This window comes from Homo sapiens, chromosome 12, assembly GCF_000001405.40.
Source record: "Homo sapiens chromosome 12, GRCh38.p14 Primary Assembly".
NCBI classification, from domain to species: Eukaryota; Metazoa; Chordata; class Mammalia; order Primates; family Hominidae; genus Homo; species Homo sapiens.
In genome coordinates, this window is record NC_000012.12 from 68135277 (window position 1) to 68154767 (window position 19491).

Below are 19491 nucleotides of genomic sequence, written 5' to 3' on the forward strand. Positions count from 1 at the left end.
TTCTTACAAGCCTAAATCTGGTTGTGGAATGATAGTGGCACTTATTGAATTTAATTAAACTGAATCTGCAGAAGTTCCCTAATGGTTACCTCTTTGTAGTAAGACTGCCTGGGCTATAGGCATTTTCTGATTTTTTCCCCTAAATGAATCCTGTCATTAAGGTTTTTTTTTAATCCTAAAATGAATCATCCTAGAGTGTCCACTCCCCTGCTCCCACTTGAATACACAAATGGATACTTGTTTGTTGAGTTTCTTTCCTACAGATTATGTGGTACACAAAATGCATGGTACACGAAATGCATGAGGAATTGTTCCTGTCCTAAAAACTGATCATCCGTTTGACAGACAGAATATACACATGAAACAGTTAGAGAATAGCTTAAGACAGCATGAAATAAAATGCATTACACACCATGCATCTCATGTAAAATGCTGCCAGTAGAGAACGCCCAGCTTTTTCTCACATATGCAGACTGATCAGTAATCCCCTGCAACTTACAGGATGCCCAAAAGTCCCTCCAACACTGCCACAGAACCTGAAGCCTCCCCCTGGAAACTTGATTATTTCAGAATCAAGTCATTGACATTTCAGGAATATTTATTGAAAATATCAACATCCCTAGGATAAGTCACTCAAAGATCTGTATCCAGTCTTGGTCCTTAGGTAAAATTAGCCTATCAAATTTCTTCCAGCTGGGTCAGCCAGGAGGTTAGAGTCACAGAACAAGTGAAATGTGTGATGGGAGGAATAAGGAGGGTGCATTCTGGGCTCAAGGCTTTTGGACAGAGAAAGCCAGGCCTAAGTGAACCATCACACTGAGGGGTCCAGGGTAGACAAAGAGCTTTGAGGTCCAGAATAGGTAGGAATATGAGAAGGGAGAATCACAAGAGGAAGGGAGTGGGCACAGGATATGAACTTCCAACTTTGCAAATTTATGCAAGACTCTTTCTCACCTAGTTTTGACCTTCCTCCGAGGTTCTCTGTGGCCAGACCTATGAAGCCCAGCTTGAGACTCATGATCATTTTTCCTCTTAGAATTACGCTGATCACTTTCCTACTGCTGTGGTTGCTGCAACATCTGGCCAGGATGCTTTCTCTCATCACTTCAGGGGCACTTCCAGGAAGCTGTAGGCTTCAGGAGTGAGGGAAAGGTGAGGAGGGTTGTGTGGAGGCCACAGTCCAGCAGAATCAATGAGCTGGCTTTGCCTCTGCCCCTGCCCCTGCAGACCCTCCCTGCTACAGCTCCTGTCTGGTCTAAGGACTTCTCTGCTACACCAGAGAAATCCATCTCCTCTTCCTCACATGTATTCCCAAGATTTGCTACACAGATGGAACCCCCCAGCAGGTGTCAGAATCCTCCAGTTCCTGGCTACTGTCTCATTCTCTCAGGGGAGGTGCCCCGGTGTCTGCCTGGGGTTGAGCCCTGGCTCTGCCATTTATTACCTCAGTGATCTGAGGCCTCAGCTTCCTCATCTGTAAAAAGAATAGTACTGATGTCCCACTTACAGAGCTACATATAAAGAGTTCAGCATCTTTATTATAGTAAGTACATACATAGTCAATCCAAAATCAATGTTCACTACTATTATTACCACTGTGACTACTCCAATTAATTATCCAATTAACAAGTGCTAATTAAGAAGCTACTTTGTTCCCACCATTGGGCTGAGAATAAAACACTCCACCAAAATGAACAACGATAATGATAAAATAATGGTTTTCATTATGAGTGCTAATTTTGTGCCAGGCACTGTGCTAAAGACTTTTAGTAATTTGTATTGTCTTCTTTACTCTTCCAAACCAAAACTCTGGGAGTGACAGGTAGGGAGAGAGGAGGGAGTGGGATATAAACTTAGAATCTCCCTTTCACAGACAGCCTTTGCAGAAAGTCCAACTTATTCCCAGGAATGGCCAAGTCTTTCTCAGAGCTGGGATGCAATCTCCCTCACCCAGTCGCACACCCCTGGGCCCTGCCTACAACAGTCCAGGGAAGCACCTTTAGCCCTCCTTTACTTCTTTTTGAATCTTCTACCAGCCTGCTTTCCTGTCTCCCCTTCCACTCCCATCTAATCAATGTAGAAATGGCCTCTCATTTCACTTCTGAGAAGCCATTTCCTGTCATCTCTTTAAAGTCTACCGCTTTCCCACTGACTGTCTCTAATAAGCAGAAAGCAAATGTCTAGCCCTCCTTGTCAGCATAATTAGGAAACTGCTTCCTCTGGACGTGCCTGAAGTCCCTATGTTGCTAAGAGCAAGACTCTTCATGTTTTGCCATTTGGGACGTAACTGTTTTGGTGAGCAGTGTGCAAATCAGTTTTTAACACCAACATTCTGGTCTAGTCTTTGAGACAGGAAAAAGATGAAAATACATATGTTTCCACATTTTAGGGTAGAAAACCCAGTCTGTGGTTTCCCTGGCACTGCTTGTGGTACCATTGAGACCTTCAAGCCATGCAGCCCCATAGGTATACTGTTCCTTATTTGCTAACCTGGTGTTCAAAATAAAAAGACTGGTTTCCTTAGTAGCATTTGATTTTGATTTTACTGAAACTTGTGTGGTTAAAAACGTTCTTATACTATTAGTATGTGACCTTTAAGATATTTGTCAGGAAAAAAAATCTCATAAGAGTAGAACCTTGTTTCCCAACTGAGTCTCTTTTCACTTCAGAAATGGAGTCCCTTAAAATGATCCCTTCCCAACTATACCCTGAAATCTTCAAACCCCTATTTTCTCTTCTTCCCACTTCAAGAGAAATTTTGGGTCACATGTCCCATTACTCCAAATGGTAGATACTGGCCAGCAACAATTTTTCTAAGTTTCATACCTTGCCTGACTTTTTTTGTGTCAACCAACCTGAGCTCATGGGCCATGGGCATGAAATAGCAGCAGCTGTAGTAGCAGTAGCCACAAAATGTATCAATAAAAGATGAAAAATGACATTTAAACAAAGAACAAACCAGAATAAAATGATCAGTTCATTCCTGTCTGACATGCACATCAGTTAAGAATCTAATAACCTGATGCCTTTGGAAAGATGCAAAGTCTCAGATGTTGGGACCACTGTTTGAAAGTCATATGGACATTTGTCTGGGGGTGCTTGTTCAGTAATTCATGGTGTGTCCTTCTTGGTTGCTGTGTCCTTTGAGTATGTGTTTTCTGATTTACCTCTGGTAACCCTGAGTCAGGAATTAAAGTAGAGAAAGAACTCAGGGAAACAATAATCGATTTTTAACTACATTATGACAAACTGTCTTCACTGATGTTATTCCTTCAATTGGCCGGTGTTACATTGTCCTGGTGTCTTCTAGACATGGTCACACTTGCAGACTAATACAGCTATGAGGTCTGGCCCCTTCAGTTACATCCAATTCAACCCAGTATATTACCCTAGGGAAACTGACAGTGGGGATTTCCTAACTCCTGAGCCAGAGTTTCCAACATGTCATTTTCCAGTTACTCAGCATTTTCTACTCTAGTGATAGTCCCTAAACTTACTGATTAAAAACAAAAATAGCTAAGCCCCAATTACCCAGAATTCCTGGTGCCCCTAACCCACCCAAGATCAGTTACTCATATTGATGATTCTTGTTACCCCAGAGTTTTCAGTGCCTTCTACATAGTACCCTCAATGAGAGAAAAATATTAATTTGAAAATATTTGAAATGATCTTGTCAAACTCCTTGGAAGATTAATCATATGCCATTGATTAGAAACCAGAGAAAAGCAAGGCTGCAAAATTATGGCTTCATGCATGCACAGGTGTGGAAGTTTCCATAAAATTCTATTAGTCCAATGGTCATAGGGCTGAGTGGGTGATAGCCATCTCCCCACCCTCCAAGTAATTTTGGAAATGTACTGTGAGCAACTCTGATTGTCACAATAATTTCGTAGGTTCTACTGGAGTATTGTGGGTGGGGAAGTCAATGAGGTTAGAACTCCTGCAATGCATGAGACAGTTTTGTGCAATGAAGAATTGCCCCATGTCTCATGCAATTTACACACATAATTTATCTTAATTTATACAGTGGCCCTGTAGGTAGTGTATTTATCTCCATCTGGCAGATTATAATGGAGGTTAATGGGGAGCCTTCATCTTCCCTACCTGCTTGAAAATCTCTATCCCTAGAACTAATCATTTTGGTTCAACGTATGCAGACAATATTCCTCCCTCAATTTTTCTAGATTGTTCACATCTCCATGGGGCATATGCAGGGACCTCTAGAGACCCCACTACAACATCTAAGATAATTCTCCACCTAAAGTAGTGAAAAATCATGTTGGACACCAGAAAGCTCTTAGCAAGGCTCAATAATTAATTACTGATGTTATTTTCACATGGAAAGAAATATTCTTGGTAAATCAGAATAAATTTCTTGAAACTTCATGTAAAATTCATAATTGTGTTAAGGTAATTTTGAGCCACTGTCTGTGTATGCCGTTCTGTGGGATACACAGAGTATACCTTTGTGAGGCTCCAGGGACATTCTTTCCACTTCGTACTTCTTTTTAAATCACAAGGTAAGATCTTATGAGATGCAAAGATTAATTTGTTTTCCTCCACCAACTTAAATTTTTCTCCCTTTCTTTACTACCTGTAGGATTTTAGCACTGAATAAATAATAGGCTTGAAGGTGAACTATTTTCATGAGCCCATATGCATTAGGACAAAAACTGAATTCTATGGTTTAACCAGGACATAATATACATCAATATGGTCTTTGAATGGCTTACAAAGGAAAAAAAACATTTCCTGGGTTATTGGAAGCAGCATGGTGTCAAAGTAGTTAAACAGATTCTATCTCTGTGGTCAAGTACCAGTGCTGTAAAATCACATGAGGTTGAAAAAGAGGAATAAAAATGGAATTTGCTTACCCACACATACCCTAATGACCAAACATTGTAAGTAAACTGAATTGGGCAATTACTATGTTAGTGACTGGTGAAATACTCCCATTGAATTGATTGGTCCTGTTCTTGCTCCTCCCATGGGGTACATGCCTGGTTGTGTACCCCCAACTCAGAGACAAAAAAGTTTGCTTTCCCTTCAGTCAGCGTACTACACTTTCCCCTGTTTGAAACTTATTCTGCTGTGGCTTCTTTGTTTATTTCATGTCATCTGCTCTTCAAAAATAAAGACAACTCTCACTTCACCAGTCTAAGATAAAGTAGAACCACCCACACAACCATGAAACACTACAGTATATGTGTTTAGCATTTTTTCAAAAAGTGTTTTGTGACACACAATATTGGCTCTTTTTCCCTGCACCTGAAGGCCTAAATTATAGAACATTAGTTTGCTGGGTCTCTATTAGTTCACCAATGGATGCTGATGTCTCAATTTTTCAAAAGCTTTCCAGTGACTTATGCAAAGCCCTCAGGAAAACTGAGTAGCAAATAGGATTAGCATATTTGTAAAGACCCAGAAGTAATGCATTAACATGCTGAGGTGTCATAAGCCCCAATGAATATGTTGATAATTAGTGCTTCTTAGAGAGCAGCTAGATCACCTTCCTCCATGCTAATGATGTGCAAATAATCCTTGGTGAATCTGAACATCTGCTAGTGGGTGTCCCCAAGCAGGATGCAATGACAGGAGACAGATTTATCAACATTGCTGTTGGATTCCACCAAAAACATACTCCAGCCCATAAAACCTTCTATCAGGCATAATCATATTCCTAGCCATAATTTTGCTATTGTTTGCAATCCTATTTTTTTTCTATCTATACTAATTAAAGTCTTGGTGCACCCAAAGTAGTTTGTATAAATTACATGAACTCATAAAAATTTCAGTGTTCATTTGACATGAATCGTTAATACCACTTTTTTGGATGGTTAAAGAGCAAGTGCATTGTTTTTTTAATTGCCACTACGGCAGTGAATGAGAGTATCAACTATATTTGTTAAAATGTAAACAGAAAAACAAAACAAAATCATATTCTAGTGTTTGGTGAGATAATAACAGATTTTTCCAGCCTGAAATAGAGTTTGTTTCCCAGAATCTTCTGGTGAAAATGGAAGCACATGTCCCTTAGAATAATGCTCTTTGTGTCAGTCTAGGTGACACATGGTTACTTTGCTCAAGTAGAAGCTGGCTAACCTCCAGATAGCGACTCCATTATGGGACATATGATTCTCTCTGTTCCAGCTTTGTGACCCCAGAGCTCCCCAACTTATCCTCCCCCATCACCTTATTTCCAGTTTCCCCTAGTATTTTCGGCCAGAAGAGTTCTTGATTAATCTGAGGGTTAGGGTAGAACTTGCTCCTCTAGCTCAGGATGCTTTCTCTTAAATTGTTTGTCTATATTATAAGTCTTTTTTATTTTTTAACATCCTAGGCTTTTGAAAGTGGAGACCTAGTTTTTCTCCATTTTCCATTGTTATATCAGTTCTCCTTGACAACTAGCACAGAATGGCCTATTTCAATGGGAGGGATGGTCCAAGATCAAACAAATACAGAGGAAAAACAATGAGTTGAAAATTCGAAACAATTCCACTACAAATTCTTAACATGAACCACAAAATCCTTCTGAAGGCAATATTTGAGAATAAGCACTAACAAGATTTAAATTCATGAAATTAGATCTTAATTGATTATTTAAGCATCAGAGAAGTTTAAGAAACAGAAAAATCTACTACATTTCATTATCTCCTACAATTCATGAATCTGGCACCCAGAATATTACAAGGCTCCTTCCAGAAACTATGTTAGTGTCATAGCTCACATTTACACAGAACTTTGCCATTTGAAGTCACAAATATTATGTCATTTGATCCTGAGTTAGTCAAAGTCACATAGATGGTGAGAGTGACAGTGTCAGATCTCCAAAAATACTTGGTATTTCTGAAAAGCAATTGCCCTCTAAAAATCATAACCTCAATTAAATAGAGTGTTTATCCAAACATGATCACTGATTCATTTGGACTTCTTACAAATCTTTTCACAATTTGTGTACCTTTTCTTATCTAAAGCATATCATCAGGCCCCTATATGTCATTTTCCCAGCTCTCTGTGGTTGTAGTCTCAGCCTGCTCAAACCCCTTTACCCCAGGTCTTGAGCAAATACTGATGATATGGGCAGGGCCCATAGCAGTCACATCAGTTTACATCCACAGCAGTTTAGCAAGGACCTGATGCAACAGAGAAGAGTCTGATGCTGTTTGGACCTCTCGAGCCCCAGGACTTCCTGCCCCTTCCTCTTCTCAAGCTGTTTCAGTGCATTTGATCAGGTATGCTGGTCAGTACTCAGATCCTCATCGCCCTTGTGTCAGTGCTTGCTCAAAAGGACTAGATGCCACCATGGGGACCCCGCTCACCAGTGGTGGCCTCGTCTTTTATAGATGGATTCCTCAAAATCACACTTGCCGCCCTTGTCTCCAAGATTTGGATCACGGTCTAGATGCTCCCACCCTTTCTCCTCAAAACTGCCACACCACAGTCTCACCAACCGCCAGGGTGCTCTGCCCTTTCGTGACCAAATCCCTGAAGCTAGGTGAGTTTTGCAAGCCCTATGCACGGCAGTCCCACTCCCTGATGATCCTAAGATGTAAGACCTCACAGAATTTACATTGGAGCCTAAGTAACAGTGCACCATGCCAAAGAAGACAGAGTTAAACTAAACACAATCCAGGGATTCTGACTTACTGACTTCTTTTGCAACTTGCTTCCTCTCTCAGTTCTTCTAGAAATGGAAAATTTTTCAGATCAAGAAAAACTGAACAGAACTTGCCAGAATGACGAAGCTAATGACAGTGATTCATTGATTTATTCAACAAAAATCACAATAATAATAATAGGCATTTACAGAGCATTGTTTCTCTTCCAAGCATTTTGTATGCATTTTATTTAATCTTCACAACAATCTTATCAATGAGGCTTGGAGACTATAAGTAACTTCCCTAAAGTTTCACAGCTAAAGAGATCTAAGTCTAACTGAATCCCAAACAAGTACAGCACGTGCTTGCTAGTTGCTCATGAGTATAATTTTACACTAGCCTATTACATATCCTTGGGGGTGGCCGTAACCAAGATGTCAATGGTTCTCTGATGTAACTTTACATCGCCACGGGGAAAGATGGCAGGCTTTTTCCCATGGTGCATTTTGCCAGTCACCAGTGGAAGGTGACCTCTGAAGGTCACCTTAATTGGAAACGGACTAGACCTTGCATGTGGAGAGAGAATTCTACTGAAGAAGGTCCTGCTGGTTGGGGCAGACAACTTCACACTGCTTGGCAAGCCACTCCTCAGAAAGGATCTTGTTTGAGTAGAAGCCATAGTCATTGAAAAGACAGAATCATGGACAAGAGTCATTATGAGATTTAGGAGAAGGAAAAGCTTCAAGAAGAAATAATTCATTGTGACCCCTCAGACCATCCTCCGGATAAACAGCATTGAGATTGCTCTGTGTTTGTTGTAGTCACCGAGTTAGTATTTGCAGAAATATAAAAATAAACTCTTGCTTTCCAAGGAAAAAAAGAATCTTGGGTATGGCCACCCCCAATAATGTGTAATGGGCTAGTGTAAAATTATACTAATGAGCAACTAGTGAGCACATGCTGTACTTAACAGCTCTTGTTCAGGATTCAGTTAGACTTAGATCTCTTTAGCTGCAAAACTTTGGGAATGTTATTTATAGTTTCCAAGCCTCATTGATAAGATTGTTGTGAAGATTAAATAGAATGCATATAAAATGCAGCTCAGTTGGTGAAGGCACTTTCACCTTTGATCCTTCATCACCATCTGCCCAAAAGAAGCCCTGTCATGGAGCAGCCAGATTCTCATTTTAGGTAAACAGAAAAGGATAAGGCACTTCTGGCCTTGTATTTTCTCCCAGAGCACTCAGATGCTGATTATATTACAGACAAATCAAGATTTCTCAACCCTCTTCAATTCTTTCAATCAATTATCCATTTAGTGTAACTATGTGATAATGTCTAACACATAAATTATCATGAAAAATGTGAAAGCTACTAAACTAAAAAAAAAAAAATTCTTTTTAGTAGCAAGGATTTTGTATGGGGAAGCCTGGCTTTGTGGGAAATGATTTGATAAACTTACACTGGAAACTGAACCTTAGGGAATGGATTCCATTCCAGTCAAATCTTCAAAGGAAAAGAGGAAGCTACTCTGGATAATAAGAGTGAAGAATTGGAAGTTCCTGGGAGGAAATCCTGGAAAGGAAAAGAAATTGGTACTGTGTAGAGGAAAGAGAAAACTCTCCCCTCTCCATGATGGTGCAGCTGAGGCAGAACTTTGGAAAAAGAAAATCTCTGGAATGCTGACAATCGTGTTTCCCTAAAAAACCCTCCGACACCTTCAGAAACTATTCTGAATTGCTGAGTATTAATGCTTTTGTGTGAGTATGTTATTTTGAGGAGTTAAGCTCTATGTCTTGATAAGAATGTATCAAAAATAGACCTCGCACATCAACCCAGGAGTCAGAGGTCACAAAGGAGACTGACAAATGGGTCATGGTGAGAACTATGACCACCCGTGTCCATATAGCTTAACTAGCAGAACTGAAGCTGAATGCCACCTTGGTCAAGATGACTTAAACAAACCAGTAAATAATTTCACTGCTTGCTTCAGAAAAGTATTGAAAATCATTTTATCTGAACAAATCGTTTGCTTAACTGGACAAACGACCTCCTTCTCAGGACAGTAGATTGCTCCCCTGAGTAAACAATTATCAAATGACTACTTATATGTCAAGAATTGCTTCAAGAACCTTGCCTTACATTTCCACCAGACCTAAATCAACATACCAGATTCCCCAATCTCAGTTTCCCTTTACTAAAAGACTTTTCTCAAACCACTTGATCCCATAGCCCCAAGCCCTATAAATATCCTCCTGACCTCCTCTGAACCTCTAGGTTCTGAGACCTAGTAAGACTTTGTCAAGCTTACTATAGTAGGCTTAATACACAGCTTTGATTGATCAACAGGTGCTTTTTTTTAGGCAAGTCAACAGGGGCTAGTGCTGAGCCTGTCACAGACCACATACTATGATATTAACAATATAATAATAACAAATAAAGGCCTAGCAGAGGCTAGCATAATACCAAATACTCAATAAATGAGGCGGCATAAAGCTACTTGCATAACTGTGGCAAGAAAGATGGTAATATTAATAAAATATCAGGTGACAAATAACAGGCCACAAGATATCCTGAGCTCAACTTGAACTTTTCCATTCCAAATGTGATATCAAATTTCTTTACCAAAGAAATTTTGTTTCTTTGCTTCTTTACCAAAGAAATTTTGTTTCTTTGCTTCTTTAGCAAAGAAATTCAAATCTAGGTACAAGAATACACAACGAATTGTTTTTACCTTAATAGTCAGGACAGAACAGAGTGATTTCAAATAAGTGACCCTTGTACTGAAAGCAGAATAAGTAACTACCTTTTTTTTAAGTCAATTCCATATTGATATTTCCAATATAACAAGGTTTCTTTTCTCCTTTCTCAAAAATTAGTTTATAATCCTTTTTTTTTCTAGTTTTGGTGTCCCACAATTACTTATTGTCATTTCAAGCAAAAATGAAAAATCACAGTATTATCCTTCCTGGAATCAGCTGCCAAGTCAGCTTCCATTCAGACAGTTCATCTTGTTGGCATCAGTCACAGTCTTCCTCAGAGGAACATGAAAGAATGCACAAGTGTAAGTCTCCTAGCGTTCTAGCATCCCAAAAAGAGTCCCATACAATTAGTAAACAACAGCAATGCAAGGACTCAAAAATAATAAGTCTTTGGTATTTGATCTAAATTTTTTCACTGGTTTTTCATTTTTATAGCTTTAATGCCATGAGTTTTGTCTAGGATTTTTTTTTTTTTTGCATATGTGCATCCAATTGTTCCAGCAATATTTGTTGAACAATCTATGCTCTCTCCATTGAATTACCTTTACTCTGTCAAAACTCAGTGGACTATATTTGTATGAGTCTATTTCTGGGCTCTCTGTTCAGTTCTATTGATTTATATGGCTATTCTTTCACCAGTACCATTTTGTACTAATTACTGTGCCTTATAGTAGGTTTTCAAGTTAAATAGTATGAGTCCTCCAAATTTGTTCTTCTTCAGTATAGGGTTAGCTATTCTATGTTTTTTCCCTTTCCACATAAATTTCAAAATTTGTTGGTATCTACAAAATACTTGCTGGGATTTTGTTGAATCTATAGATGAAGCTAATAAGAAATAACATCTTAATGATATGGAGTCTTCCAATCCATGAACATGGAATGTTTCTCCATTTACCTAGATCTTCTTTGATGTTTTTCATCAGTGCATTGTAATTTACTACATAGAGGTCATGTACATATTTTGTTAGATTTATACCTATTCCATGTTTTGGGTGCTATTGTAAATGATGTTTTTAACTTCAAATTTTAATTGTTCAGTGCTGGTATATTGGAAAGCAATTAACTTTTGTGTATTCGCCTTGTATCCTGTCACCTTGCAACACTCATTTATTAGTTCCAAGAACTTTTTGTCAGTTCCTTGAGATTTCCTGCACAGACAATTATGTCACTATGAACAGTTTAATTTCTTCTTTTCCAATCTGTATACCTTCTGTTTTCTTCTACAAATATGTTAGGTTAAATGGAAAAGAATTAAGGTTGAAGATGAAATTAAGGTTGGTAATCACCTGGCCTCCAGATGAGGAGATTATCCTGGATTATCTGGGTAAACCGATATGAAAGCAAAGGTTCTTATAAATGGGTAATATAGGCAGAGAGAGAGAACCAGAGAGATGGCAGCATGAAAAGGACTCAGCTGACAAGGAGGAAGCAGACTGCGAGCCAAGTAGTGCAGGCAGCCTCTAGAAATTAAAAAAGATAAGGAAACAGATTCTCTTCTCAGAGCCTCCAGAAGGAACACAGAGCTTCCCTACACCTTAATTTTAGTCACTGAGACTGATTTTGGACTTATGACATCCGGAACTGGAAAATAACAGATTTGTGTTGTTTCAAGCCACCAAGTTTGTGGTAATTTGTTACAACAGCAATGGGAAACTAACATACATATCTTCTGAAAATAAGCCTGTTGTAATTTTTTGTTCTTCCACAGGTAAAGTGGTGTTTTTTCCCTTTGGCTCTTTCAAGTTTTTCTCTTTGTTTTTCTGCCATTTGAATATGATATTCTGTCTTAGACCATTTTGTGCTGCTATTACAGAACACCTGAGACTGAGTAATCTATAATGAGCAGGCATTAATTTGTCTCACAGTTCTGGAGGCTGGGAAACCTAAGGCCAAGGGGCTGCACCTGGTGAAGACCTTCTTGCTGCATCACAACCTGGCAAAAGGCATCACATAGATGAGAGAGAGCAATAGAGCTTGAGAGAGAAAGGTTCAGAGGAGGAGGAGAAGGAGGCTGAATTTATTCTAAAAGTAAACCCACTCTTAGGATAACTAACCCATTCTCAATAATGACATTAATCCATTCATGAGGGCACAGCCGTCATGACCTAATCACCTCTTAAAGGTCCCTGTCTCAACACTATTGTGTTGGAGATTAAGTTTACAATACCTGAACTTCTTACAAACCACAGCACATTCTTAGGGGTAGTTTTATGGCAATTTGTTCTGCCCAGTATTCTATGAGGATCTATTGTTTCGCTACGTATTTTGAAATTGCCAAAAAAAAAAAAAAAGGAAAAAAGAAAAAAGATATTGTCCCCTCCCCAGTTCTTGGAAGTTCTTTTTTGTGTGTTTTTTTCTATTCTGTTTGTTTGCTTGTTCTTCATTTTCTCTCTCTGCATTTCAGTTTGGGAAGTTTCTATTTACCTATCTTCAAGCTCACTGATTCTCTTCAAGCTCACTGATACGTTGTGTTTACTGGAGCCTATCGAAGACAATCTTCATTTCTGTCACAGTATTTTTTATTTATAGTATTTCTATTTGATTCTTTTCTTAGAATTTCCATCTCTCTACTGACATTACCCATCTGTTCTTGCATGTTGTCTACTTTCTCCCTTAACATATTAATTTTAGTTATTTTAAATTTCTTACCTGGTAATCCCAAACTCTATGTCATATCCGAGTCTGGTTTTGATGTTTGCTGTATCGCTTCAGGCTGTGTTTTCTCTCACCTTTCCGTGTGCCAGAGGCTTCAAGTTCTCTGGCATTCTTGCCTTTGTCTCCCATCTTTACCTTGTGCTTCCGTAACTACTCCTACTTAGACAGAGTCTGTGCCTTGCAGCTCTTTCACCTGTGATCCACTGTTATTACTGGAGCCCTGTGGTATGTAGTAAAGTATGGGGAAAGGGAAGTGTTTTATAATCTTTAAATCTCAGCATTTTAGTGGGCCTGTGTCTCAGGACTGTGATCTTCACAAGTGTTTCTTCTTGTATAGCTTTAGGTGTAACAGGACAACTAGAAGGGACTCAAGTTAGAGAAACATCCTTCCCCCACAGCCCTCTCACAGGAGTCTGGTAAAGCCTTTCCCCTGGAGAGCAGACCTTTGTTTCTGGACATACTTCAGAAGGTTACTCGTCCCCTCCCCCTGCCAGAGCCACAGGGGTATCTTTGTCAGAACTTCACCAGGAGAACTTGGTGGGATTCCTGTAGGTATGCTCACGAAAACAAGGAGGACCCATCACAGTTCGGCCCCCAGGTGTTTCTCACTCCCATGCTAGTCCACACTCAGCCTCCAGCAAGTCATCAAAATTACCATTTAAGTGTTTTAACAAGTTAATTACTCCAGTGGATTCAGGTCCAAGTAAGCAGATCTTGGCTGTGAATTTCTGGATTTGCCTACTCTCCAGATTTTATTGTGGCAGTTTGTCCTGCAAATTCCGTTCTATGATGGAACTAAAAAACTCGCTGGTTTTATTTGTCCAGCTTTTCCTTGTTTTAAAGGCTGGAGTAACAACTTCCATGCTCTGTATATGTTGGAGCTAAAATTGGAAGTCTGTCACGATGGTTTTTTTTCTTTTTTTTCTTTTTTTTTTTTTTTCCTGAGATAGAGTCTCACTCTGTCATCCAGGCTAGCGTGCAGTGGCATGATCTCAGCTCACCACAACCTCCACCTCCCGGGTTCAAGCGATTCTCCTGCCTCAGCCTCCTGAGTAGCTGGAACTACAGGCATGTGCCACCATGTCCAGCTAATTTTTGTATTTTTAGTAGAGATGAGGTTTTACCATGTTGGTCAGAATGGTCTCAATCTCTTCACCTCAGGTGATCCGCCCGCCTCGGCCTCCCACAGTGCTGGGATTACAGGTGTAAGCCACCACACCCAGCCCATGATGGTTTTTTTCATTGAGGCCTCAGTTGGAAAATTCAAATGCTTGGAGCTACAATCATCTAAGAGCTTGCTCACACACATCTGATGATTTGTGCTGATGCTGAGTGGAAGCCTTACTGGAACTCTTGGCCAGAATATGCACACATGGTTTCCCCATGCAGCCTGAACATCTCAACATGATGTTGGGTTCTGAGGGCAAAAGTCTTGAGATGGAGAGAAGCCAGGTAGAGACTGCACCCTAGACTTCAAAGGATGTGACTTCATTTCCATTTCACTTCACTGGTAAGCAAAGTCACAAGCCCCCGCCCAGTATTTAGGGGAGGACCATACCCTCATCTTTAAGTTGGGGGAGTGTCAGTCACATTACAAGAAGAGCATGGGGATGGGGTGAATATATATGTGTGATTACTTTTGGAAATTTCACCTGTTGCAAGTTAAATATGGGGAATTCTGAGTCATCAAGAATTTTAGACCTCACCAGTCTGTGACTCTGAAATAATCTCAGAGTGACTTTTTCGTATTTATATTTTGAAAAAATATTGCAGGCTGGGCGCCTTCAAATCCCAGCACTTTGGGAGGCCAAGGTGGGTGAATCACTGAAGTCCAGGAGTTCAAGACCAGCCTGGGCAAGATGGTGAAACCACATCTCTACAAAAAGTACAAAAATAAAAAATTAGCTGGGCATGGTGGCCCATGCCTGTGGTCCCAGCTACTCGGGAGGCTGAGGTGGGAGGATGGCTTGAGCCCAGGAGGCGGAGGTTGCAGTGAGCCGTGATTGCACGAACTGCACTCTAGCCTGGGTGACAGAGTCAAATCCTGTCTTAAAAGAAAGAACAAGATTGCAAACTTACAGAAGAGTTGGAAAAGCTTTATATTTCCTGAATCATCTCAGAGTAAGTGGCTATCCTGATGCCCCTTCACCTCTGAATACATTCATGTGCACTACCTACCCACAAAGACATGTCCTGCTTAACCATGATACAAACCTCAAAATCAGGAAGTTTAAATTGATATATTACTACTCTCTCATCTTCAGACCTCATTCAAGTTCACCAGTTGTTCTAAAAATGATTTCTACTGCACAAGGATTCAGTTTAGAAACTTGCATTGCATTTAGCCATCATGTCTCTATAATTCATTTCAGAACAAAACTGTTCTTCAGTCCTTAGTCTTTCCTTAACTTATACAACTTTGATACTTTGAAGACTACAGACAAGATATTTTGTAGAATGCTTCTTAGTTTGCATTTGTATGTTTTCTCATGACTAGAATAGGTTATGCATCTTTCACAGAGATATCACAAAAGGTGTGCTATGTTCGTTTTCTTGCAACCTATCAGGTAGGATACCCTTTTCATTTATCTCATTACTAAGGATGTTCACTTTTATTCCTTGATTAAGATGGTATCTGCTAAGCTTCTCTACCATAAAATTACTCCTTTCCAATTTGTAATTAATAAATATTTTGTAGGGAGATATTTTGCAATGATGTGGCTATACCATTCCTCATCAAACTTTTGGTGTATTCATTTATATCAATATATACTCATGGTTTCCTATTATATTCAATAGGTCATAATACATTACTATCACTATTTATTTTGATGCTCAAATTTTCTCATATTTCACTAGTGGGAGTCCCTTCAAGCTGGTTTCTGTTCCTTTTAACATGTTTCCATCATCCTCTGAATACTTCTTTTTTTTCTAGCACTTCATGTACTTTCACTACCCCTGTTCTGGGATCAGCCAATTCTCCAAGGAGTTCTGGTTCATTCTAGCAAAGAATGGTATTTAGAAGTCAAGATATGGGTGATCAGTGTTCTCATTGTTATCGAGATGTTACTACTCCCAGGCCCCCTCAATGGACAGAGTTAGGGTGAACTAATATTTCTATCTATTATTTATTTCTATATCTACCTCTATATATTGAAGAGCATAAGTTAATACTGATACATCTAATTCTATTTCAATATCATAGGGTTTATTCTAATTTTCTCCTTTTCTGTACTGTACCTTCCTTCAATAGTGAGGAAAACTGGCTCCCATTATCTTTAATATAATTACTTAATTAATTTCCCATCTGCACTAATATGTCTTCCCCTATGCAGATGCCATTCTTACTTCACTCTAACACTCATGCTGGGCCATCCCAGGACACAGATGTCCTCCTCACCTTGCCTGGACTCTGACACCCTACTCCAGGCCATTCTTCCACATGGGCACCTCCTTGCTAGGCTAAGGTTCAGAGGACCCATGTCAGGCTGCCGCACTGTGATAGACTGCATAATGGACCCCCAAAGATGTCCACATCCTAGTCCCCTGAATCTGGGACTGTTGCTTTATATGGCAAAAAAAAACAAACAAACAAAAAAAAAAAAAAAAACTTCTCAGTTAAAAATCTTAAGAAGGAGGAGACAGTATCCTGAATTATTCAAGAGGTCTTAATGTAATCACGAGGGTCCTTATAAGAGGAAATCGGGAGTATCAGAGTCAGAAAGAATGAGAGAGCCTGGAAGATACTCTTCTGCTGGCTTTTAAAAAGGAAGAGGCCACTAGCTGAGGAATGAGAGTGGCCTCTAGCAGTTGGAAAAGTCAAGGAAACAGATTGTCTCCTAAAGTCTCCAGAAGGAACAAGCCCTGCCGATGCCTTGATTTTAGCCCACTGAGCCTAGTTTTGGATTTCTGCCCTCCATGATGATAAGATAATAAACGTGGGTTTTTTTTTTCAGCAACTAAGTTTGTTGTCACTTATTACCAAAGCAATAGGAAACTAATATGCTCACCCACCTCTTCAAGGACCTTCTCCTCATTCTGCTCAGGTTCTGACACCTTCCACACCAGGTTTCCTCCCTACACACTGTGCCTGGAATTTGGCTGCCCATAGTGGGCAATTACAGATGTCTACCTTACTCTGATGCACTTAATTGATTTAGAATAATATTGTTCAAATGGGAAGGAGAGAAGAATGAAGAGAACAGGATAAGAAAGAACAGGAAAATCCATTGACATTTCATGCTCAAGTTTTAATCACCAAAAATTGCCCCACCAGCAAGCATATGCCAGCAATTTCTGAAAGTCACTAAGGGTGAAAGCTATACGATAAGGGCTCTCCCACTGCAAGCCCAGGCTGCTGTCCCAGCTGCTTATAAGATTTGGGAGATACCTGCCCCTGCTGGCATTGGGAGAGGAATCAGCCCCCAAGGTGTCTTAGTCTAAAGCATGGTCCATCCCTCCTACAAGCTCCATCACACTTCTGAAACTAGGTGTGTTCATAAGAGAAGAAACATACAACATAGAGAATAATTGACAACCACTGCATAGGCCAGTCTCAACTCAAGTTCTCTTAAAGGATCTTCTCCCTGTCTCATTCCCTGCTATAATCACAGCACCTAATACAGTTTATATCTCTTCATGTCTCACAGTCTGGCCAAACTGAGATCAACCTCAGAGAGAGGGAATGTTTTATCCAGCCCTAGATTAAAATTTATCTCCTGGGGCTTCATTACACATGGTATGATTAATCACTGCTCAAGATGATCGATGGTGGGAATTTCCAATCCCTTCCCCAGAAGTATGGTCTAGAACTGTGGTCCAGGCAAGACAGCTTCACAGTAGCCCTTCATCTGTTTATACATCAAAGTCTGCATCAATGAATCTTAATTCAAACAAGAGTGGAGACACCAGTAGCAGATCATATTAGCTGTAGTTGTGCCAAAATTAACCAAATTTACTTCCAATCTTGCTTCATCAAAGATTCAAAAGTTTTAGCATCAGATCTCACCCACTGTCACTTAGTTACCCAATAATCAAAATAATGACCCCTGATTATTGTCAATGACTCAAATGATCCTTTGTGTGATCTATTTCACATAATCCTACTGTTGCTGTTGGAGGTTTATGTGAAATTGTTGAGAAGGAAGCCCCAGATGTCTAACCCTCTCTATCCTTGACATTCATGATCTTGCCACCACTACACGTTCCACAGCTGGTAGAACTAATCTCACTATATCCATTATCTTGTTTATGTCGGTAATCATAAGAAGTCTCAGACTCACAACACATCCCTATGCACGTTCCCTTTTATGACAACCTCTCTTACTTTGTCTCACTGGGTCTTCTGGAATTTACAGCCCAGAACTAACCAAATCCATCATATCCTCAACTTCCTCCTTCTCAAAAGATAAACTGGCCCTCCCCTAAGGACATTGCTTCCCCTGAATTCCTCTCAAGTGTGGCTGATTTTCTCTTCCGTCTTCTGGGCCCAGCACACTGGTCTGCTGGTTCTTCTACCACTCCAGGAAAATCTCTTCAGAGCCTTTGCAAGGATATACCTTTTGCCTGGAATTCAAATAGCTACCTCTCTTACTTCTTAAAGCGCTTCCTCAAATGGCATCTCCTCAATAAGGCCACATATAATTACCCTTTTAAACCTCTAGCCCTCCCACTCCACCATACATAGGACTCCTAATTTCCCTGTCCTGCTCTCCTTTAACTATTTTTCCATGACACCAATCACCTTAGAGAATGCCATGCAATAGACTTACATATTATGTATTTTGTTCATTGTTTATCTGTCCCTTGCTTAATTTCAAATTCCCCAGGGGCAGGGATCCTTGGCTGTTTTGCTTGAGTAAGGTATCTCAAGGTCTACAACAGCACCAGGCATGTAGTAGGTACTCCAGTAAATATTTCTTGAGTGAAAGAATCAATTCGTACCACAATATTATGAGGAACACACAATTATTTTTCTTTTTCAGACAATAAAGCTGAAACTTAGACAATATACATAATGTATTAAAGGTCACACTACTTGTAATGGAATAACTTGGATTCCAATCCAAGCCTTCTCCCTAGAGCTTACACCCACTACTCCACCCCCACTGGTGTTTGCCAGCATTGGATGAGGGAGAGGAAGATTCTGAAATGAAGGAGGAAATAGGAAGGTGGAGAAGGGGCTAGAAATAAATCTCTGTGTGCCAAGCTAAGCAGTTTAAACTACATTCCATAGCAGAACCTCTGAATTGAATAGTGACATAATTAAATCTGTATCTTAGAAAGATAATTCAAAGAGCTGCTAACTGGAAAAGCGAAAGCCAACAAAATGCTAGTGGAAAGAAATACCACATTTAATGGAACCAAATGCAACTCTAAAATTTCCACAGCTAAGAAGACTCCCCTCCCTACTAATTCATTAATAGGTAGTTCTTTCACTCCAGGTCTCACTTAGAAAAAGTCCAACACAGCATAAG

At 39.8% G+C, this 19491-nt stretch overlaps 1 pseudogene; it reads left to right on the top strand.

The window, feature by feature from the left end:
• The first annotated feature begins 7302 nt into the window (after nucleotides 1-7302).
• LOC100509370 (39S ribosomal protein L21, mitochondrial-like) lies at nucleotides 7303-8511 on the top strand (annotated as a pseudogene).